The following is an 8,008-nucleotide window of genomic DNA, read 5'->3' on the forward strand; positions in this document are numbered from 1 at the left end:
ACGGCAGTGGCAAAAGGGTTGTGGGTTGACTCTTGGAACTCCTCCTCAGGGTAATGCTGGACTGATTCTTATTGAAGTAGTCAGGTAGGGACAGGGTGGTTGTGCTGAAGTCTCAAGTCAGGCAGCTATGCCCAGTGAGGAGGAGTGACTACCAGGACCTGTGTGGAGAATAGCCTGGCCACTTTTTCATGAGGTGAGTGCTCTCTGCTGGGAATCCTGAGCAGCCCTGGTCCTGCATACTTTCCAGAGCCTGGAGACAGCAACAGCATGGGCTGTGAGACAGCAAAGAGAGCATCCCACTCCTCCCACTAGGAGCTCTGTCCCAGGGAGTTGCAGAGCTGCTACTGGGTTGATAGCCACAGCAGGAGTTGGCTGGATACCAAGAGCAGGAGGACTCACTCAGTGAGGAGATAAGGGGACCCACATAACAAACAGTCTGGTCACTTTTCTATAGGGCTGCTGCAGTATGCTGGGTGCCTGCTCCAGTCCCTAGTTACCCCAGATTTGTCAGTACCTGAAGGCATCAACAGTGAAGACTGCTAAACAGCAAAAATGGCAACCTGATCCTCCCTCTTGGTGCTCTATTTAAGGGAGGTTTGAAACTTCTGCCTGCAGGAAAACACCGGCATGTGTGGCTGGTGACCCTAGTTGGGAAGTTTGGCCTAGTTATGAGGAGCAAGATCAGGGATCTGCATTAAAAAAGCAGTCTGGCCACTCTTTTATAGAGCAGCTGTGCTGTGTTGGGTGTCCAATCCAGCCCCAGGTCTCTTTGCACTCTCCAAAGACTGATGGCAACAAAGGCTAAGGCTGTGAAACAGCAAAGATGGTGGCCCGTGAGCTCTGTCCCAGGGAGATTTGAAACTGCTGCCAGCTGGAAAACACCAGTGGGCGTGGTTATAGACCTGGGTCAGGAGGTTCCACCCAGCGAAGAGAAATAGGATCTGGGACCAGCATGAGAAAGCAGTCTGGTTGCTTCTTTGTAGAGCTGCTGGGCTGTGCCAGGGGATCACTTCACTCCCTAGTAACTTCAGACTCCCTAGAGTCCAAAGGCAACAATCGCTAAGGCTGTGAAACAGCAAAGATGGCAGCCTGCCCCTCCCTCTAGAAGCTCCATTCCAGGGAGATGTAATGCTGCTACTCGTAGCTGGCTGGATTTCCAAGCCAGTGGGACTTATTCTGCAAGGTACCATGGAAGCAGGGCCTGCAGACTATCCCTTCTAAGCCCCCTGGATTCCTTTTCTTAGGGGTACGTATACAGGTCTAACCTCCTGCTTTGCCAAAGTTGCAGCTGCTTTTGCCAGGAAGCCCAGGTATCTAAAGCTCCTGGGGCTCCACATGTGCCTGAGTGGGTGCTCTGCCAAGACTCCACATAGCTCTCTGCATGTCAGACTGCAGGCCCTGGTGGGGTGAATTCACAGGGAAATTTTCTGACCAGAGAGTTTCAAAGATTTGTGGGAGAAGTGTGAGTCCTAGGGTTGCTCACTCACTCACCACTTCCCTGGGCAGGAGAGGCTCCCCTAGCTCCGTGTCACTCCTGAGTGGGTGGTCATTCTGCCTTGCTTTTCTTCATGCTGTGTGGGTTGAACTGTTTTTTTGATGAATCCCAATGTGCATACCTGGATGTTTCAGTTGAAGGTGCTGTATATACTTGCCCCCTCTATTTCTCTCTGTGAGAGTGGGTACAGTATCTGCTTCTAGCTGACTATCTTTGTCGATTCCCAATCTCATTCTTTTTTATGGCTGCATAGTATTTCTTTTCTTTTCCTTTTTTTGAGACAGAGTTTTGCTCTTGTTGTCCAGGCTGGAGTGCAATGGTGCCACCTTGGCTCACTGCAACCTCTGCCTCCTGGGTTCAAGCGATTCTCCTGCCTCATCCTCCTGAGCAGCTGGGATTACAGGTGACCGCCAACACACCCAACTATTTTTTTGTATTTTTAGTAGAAACAGGGTTTCACCATGTTAGCCAGGCTGGTCTTGAAATTCTGACCTAAGGTGATCTGCCTGCCTTGGCCTCCCAAAGTTCTGAGATTACAGGCATCAGCTACCATGCCCAGCCCAGCTGCATAGTATTTCATGGTGTATATATACCACATTTTCTTTAACCAGTCCACCATTGATAGGCATCTAGGTTGATTCCAATGGGACTGGCTGACCATCTGGAGTGGCTGCAGCCATGATGCCAGCTGCAGCAGGGGAGGTGTGTCCAGGGCTATACACTCTGTGGAGCTGATGGGGGCTAGAAACAGGTAATCCCAGTGGGAGCCCCACCCCCTACTGAGTTGGGTGGGGCAGGAGCCTACGCTCCTGACTGCAGCTGCAGCTGCCCAGCTGGGGCTCCAGATCCAGGCATCCCTGTGCTCTCAGGGGATCAGGAAGCCCTGCAGGCTTGTAAGTGCCTGCTCCTGCTCCCTGGACTCTCCCTGCTCCCAGTGCCAGCTCTGGTGTGGAGCAAAGTTGTGGCTGAGCCCAGGTGCTGTTGTGATTTGGCCGGGTGTGTGCATGTTCAAGGTAGTGCTGATATGCCAGCCCCCTGCCTCCTTGGCCCCCTCTAGACTTTGGGCACTGACAAGTGCAGAAGGAGGCCCTGGGGCTGAGGGTGGCTTTGCGTGAACATGCAGGTGCCCCATGGCACAGATATAGTCTGGGCACCATGGATGGCATGTTGACGGTGGTGGGAGACAGACAGGTCCCTAGGCAAGAAGGGGTGAGTTCCTGGTGAAACCACACCTTCAAGCCAGAGACAGCCTGAAGCCTTTGGGGCTGGGCTGTCACTTCTGTGTGGAGTCTGCAACCTGGAGTAAGAACTTCATTGATGCCTTTTGGCCAGTGGTATGGTGCTTTTTTCAGGCCTGCCGATGGATGCCCATGGACCAATCAGCATGCGCTTCCTCCCTTCTGAGCCCATAAAAACCCCTGACTCAGTCAGATTTAGACACTTGCCTGCAGATAGTAACTACCAACTTCAGGTCTCCTGAGAGCCATTTTGTCACTCAGTAAAGCACCTCTCCACCTTGCTCACCCTGCAGTTGTCCACATAACCTCATTCTTCCTCAACGTGGGACAAGAACTTTGGATCCACCAAATGGCGGGAGTCAAAGGAGCTGTAACATATTCCTGGCCAGCTTGCCAACCTGCAGGTGGTGACACACTCCACAGTGGGAGCAAAGAGTGTCAACCCTGCTGGGGCACCAGACCTTGGGATTTCCCAAGCCAGAGATGCTCTAACACCATAGCCCTCCTGCCCTTTTCCAGCGCTAGGCAGCTGCCCCATGTGACAGGAGCAGTGGTATGGCTGGGCCAACCCAGGAGCTGCAGGCTGGAGCAGGGTGGTGGGACTGAAGGAGCTTAACACAAATGGGCTGAAACATGACCCCCCGAAACACTCCCCAACCTCTCACAGCACTGTGGGCAATGAGAAGGAGAGAAGAGCTGTGGCCCTTCTGGGAGCCTAGACCTTGGGACTCCCCAAGATACACTCTAACACCCTCTTTGGGATTATGCAGTTCTTGGCATCTCTGTACTTTTGGGTGTCACTGCGTTCACCTCATCTAGATGCTGGTGGCCACAGCGAAAGCCACTTGAGTTATGTCTGGTCCAGCCACAGCCTTGCATGAAGCTGGCACCTGTGTCAGCATCTGGAGCTGCCTGCCCTGCCACAGCAGCCGGTGTGCCTCACTGTGTGCTGTGGCCAGACCCCATGCTCGCTCACTCACACACTCCTTGCCACTCCACACCTGGCTTGCATTGGCAGGCATAAGCTTGGGGCTGATAGTGTAAGCCAAAGGCAGCCTGCTGGACTCAGTGAGTGGAATGATCCCAGTGGGTGTGAGCAAAACTCAAGCAGAGGTGCTGCTGGCCACAGAGGTTTCTGGCTGGCAAAGCCACAAGCTAAGTGTCCTGTGACATTTGGAGGGGCTCGTCGGGGATCTGCAGAAGGGTGAGTTAAAGCAGACTTGCCACTCTCTGTCCTTTTTTCGGAGTCCCTAAACTCCACAATAGTCAAAATGAAAGAAAAACACAGGGCCTCTGTCGGCCTGTTAAAAGAACTATCTCAGCTGCTGAACTTAAGACACCGAGAATAAGCTTGCTGGGGAGGAAACTGGCAATCCTCCATCACCCTTGGGTGTTGGAAATGTTGGCTTTGTTCCAATCCAGTTGGTACTTGGACCTCCAGTCCTTCCCGTTGCACTTTCTTTCTGTCTTTCAAGACTGTGGTGGTGTTATCCTGTCTTTACATACAATGTTAAGGATGTTGTTGCAAAGCACAGAGACAATATTATACCGTAATGGGCTTTTGGGGACTGGAGCCAGTCTAGGAGCCTTCACGCAATGCCAAGGTGTGGCCTCAGCCAGATGCCTTCAGTTACCCCAGGACCTTACTCCAATCCTGTGCAACAGCTAGATCTCCATGAAAGGAAACTGGATTGGAACAAAGCCAATATTTCCATTTCCATGCCTTCTTAAAATATTTTACCAAAAACACATTTTACTTTCCTTACACGCCTTGCAAGTACACTTATTTTCAGTTATCTCAATTACATGTTATAATGGTAACTATTAGCAATGTTTAATTTTGGTGTAAACCCTGGTAAGTTATTTTAATTATGTACTAGAAGCAGATAAGGTCTCACTTTTTCCAGCGTAGTTAAGATTGTGGTTAACTCCATATATCCCCAAGACTTACCAAACTGTAAAGTGTGTGTGTCAAACAATTTTCAAAAGCCAAAGAAGCAGTTTATGACCTTAAAGCATTTAGCCAGCCTAATACTTGACCTGCATAATTTATAAGAAGGCATGGGATGTAAATTTTTACCTTGTTTAGAGGGTTAAATAATTGTTTTAAATTAGTTAAGATAAAGCTAAAGGTTTAAATAAGTTGTGGAAGGTTTATAGAAATTAATCTTGTAAAAGAAATTCTATATATGCACTTACTGACTAAATTCAAAAGGGTATTATTTGGTTTTTCCATAAATTGAACATGGAAATAAAAGCACAACAGAGTTTTCTTAAGTCACTGATCTTCTATTTAACAAAAATTTGTAAAGGGCTATAAAAGTGTTATAAGAATCTCACCTCATGGTCAAACTGATTAAGGTTGGATAGATTTTTCTGTAAGGTTTTATTAAAAATTGGGGTTGATATTAATAGCAGACTAATGCAACGTTGAAATTTTGCTTTCTGTCTTCTTGAATAAGGTTTTCATGTCATAGTAAAGGATAATGAAAGATTTTTGTTTGCCTTTTGAATAAGCTACTGAAAAAAGAAGCAAAAGACAGGTTGTTTGGAAAGTTAAGTCTTCCCTCTTAATGAGTTAAGGTTTTTGATTTTTAAAAAAAAAAAATCGAGTCATCAGTTTGGCTAAATAAATAACTTATGGTAATCTGGAATTATTTTCCATAATATCTAGTGTTTTAAACCTTTAACATATTTGATAGGCTTTCCAAAATCAAATTGCAGCTAAAAATTGTCTTTTCTGACCCCTAACTTTAGGATGCTACAGAGGGCCCCCAAAGCATCCAAAAGAAAGGGAAACAAGATTATTTGGCATGTTAAGTTACATAGGATTGTCAAAATAAAAATAATACCAAAATTTGTATCAATATTTTAGTTCTGAGCAATTATCCTGCAAATCCTGCCAGGTAATGGGGGTAAACATGGTGCCAATAACCCAGAGGTTCCTTATTTGGAAAAAAAAAAAAAGATCAAGGGAGCTAACCAAAGCCAAGCCCCATGCATCCAAGTCTTAGCAGGCATAACTATAGCCACCAGTTATCTGGGTGTGTAAGCAGCCTCAGGATTTTTAAGCTGTCTTTACCCCTTTGTTTTGTTTTGATACATGTCTTTTAAGAACTCGCTGTCTTCTCTTCTTGCCTTCAGGCCATCAAACTCCAAATGGTATTGCAAACAGAGCCTTGGACAATGGCTCCCTTTTCATGGAGACCCTTGACAGGCCTCTGAGAGAGATCTGACTGTCTTTTTCCCAAAACAGCGTGCCCCCTGTCAACATGAGGCAGTTAAGAGCAGTCATCGTCGCTATCTTAATGGCAGTTAGATGTATCTCTTCTGAGGGGTGATTGATGGCAGCGGTGGTTCATGGTGGCACCTGGAAGCTGCCCACTCTGCCACAGCAGCCAGAGTTCTTGGCTGTGCACAGTGGCCAGGCCCCATGCTCACTCACTCTCACATCCCTTGCCATTCCATGCTTGGCTTTTCCTTGGCAAGTGTGGGATTGGGACTAGTAGAAAAAGCCAAATGCAACCTGCTGGGCTGAGTGGGTGGAAGCAAAATTCAAGCAGAGGTGCCACCAGCCACAGAGGTTTCCAGCTGGCAAAGGGACATCCTAAGGATCCCATATCAATTTCATGCCTTTGCTGTTGTGATAATGCTGTAATAAATATACACATGCATGTATCTTTATGGTCAAACGATGTATATTCCTTTGGGTATATTCTTAGTAATGGGATTGCTGTGTCAAATGGTAGTTCTATTTTAAGTTCTTTGAGAAATCTCCAGACTGCTTTCCGCAGCAGCAGAACTAATTTACATTCTTGCCAACTGTGTATAAGCATTACTTTTTCTCTTCAACCTCACCAGCCTCTGTTATTTTTACTTTTTCACAATAGCCATTCTGACTGGTGTGAGATGGTATCTTGCTGTGGTTTTGATTTGAATTTCCCTCATGATTAGTGATATTGAGCATTTTTTATATGTTTGTTGGCCTCATGTATGTCTCCTTTTGAGAAGTGTCTCTTCATGTTCTTTATCCAGTTTATTAATGGGGTTGTTATTTCTTCTTGAGGTCCTTACATATTCTGGCTATTCAGCTTTTGCTGGATGCATAGTTTGCAAATATTTTCTCTCATTCTGTAGGTTGTCTGTTTACTCTGTTGATAGTTTCTTTTGTTGTCCAGAAACTCTTTAGTTTAATTGGGGTTAATCTGTTATTTTTTTGTTTTGTGGCAATTGCTTTTGGAGTCTTCATCATGAAGACTTTGCCAGGACCGATGTCCAGAATGGTATTTCCCAGGTTTTTTTCTAGTGTTTTTTCTAGTTTTGGGTTTTACATAAATCTTTTATCCATCTTAAGTTGATTTTAGCATACGTTGAAAGGCAGAGGTCCAGTTTCAATCTTCTGTATATGGCTAGCCAGTTATCCCAGCACCATTTATTGAAAAGGAAGTTCTTTCCTTATTGTTTGTTATTTCCAGCTTTCTCAAACAACAGATTGTTGTAGATCTGCAGGTTTATTTCTGGGTTATCTAACCTGTTCCATTGGTATATGTTTCTGTTTTTGTACCAATACCATGCTGTTTTAGTTACTTTTCCCTTGTAGTATTGTTTGAAGTTGGGTAGTGTAATGCTCTAGCTTTGTTCTTTTTGCTTAGGATCGCTTTGGCTATTAGGGCTCTTTTTGGTTTCAAATAAATTTTAGAATTTTTTTTTCGATTCTATGAAAAATGTCATTGGTCATAGGAATATCAAACATTTGGTTTGGTTGGTGGTTTGCAATGAATCTATAAATTGCTTTGGGCACTATGGCCATTTTAATAATATTGATGCTTCCTATTCATGAGCATGGAATGTATTTCCACTTGTTTGTGTTATCTCTGATTTTTTTTTCAGCAGTGTTTTGTAATTTTTGTTGTAGGGGTCTTTCACCTCCATAGTTAGTTGTATTTCTCTGTATTTTATTTGTTTTGTGGCTATTGTGAACAGGATTGCATTCTTGATTTGGCTCTCAGCTAGGACATTCTTGGTGTTTTCCTAGATATAGAATTATACTGTCTGTGAAGAGAGATAGTTTGACCTTCTCTCTTCCTATTTGGATGCTTTTTATTTCTTTCTCTTGCCTGATGGCTCTTGCTAGGACTTTCAGGACTATGTTGCATAGAAGGATTGAGAGTGGGCATGCTTGCTTTGTTCCCGTTTTCAAGGGGAATGCTTCCAGCTTTTGCTCATTCAGTATGATGTTGGCTGTGGATTTGTCATAGATGGCTTTTATTATTTT

The 8,008-nt window shown here is 45.3% G+C and overlaps 1 annotated feature.

The window, feature by feature from the left end:
* Nucleotides 1,905–2,405: an enhancer, noted in NCBI's record as "H3K4me1 hESC enhancer chr16:62511246-62511746 (GRCh37/hg19 assembly coordinates)". NCBI's record gives its function as "activates a minimal SCP1, AML or CMV promoter by ChIP-STARR-seq in primed H9 embryonic stem cells {active_cell/tissue: H9 hESC(primed)}" and the evidence as "EXISTENCE:reporter gene assay evidence [ECO:0000049][PMID:30033119]".

Source organism: Homo sapiens, chromosome 16, assembly GCF_000001405.40.
Source record: "Homo sapiens chromosome 16, GRCh38.p14 Primary Assembly".
In the NCBI taxonomy this organism is placed as follows: Eukaryota; Metazoa; Chordata; class Mammalia; order Primates; family Hominidae; genus Homo; species Homo sapiens.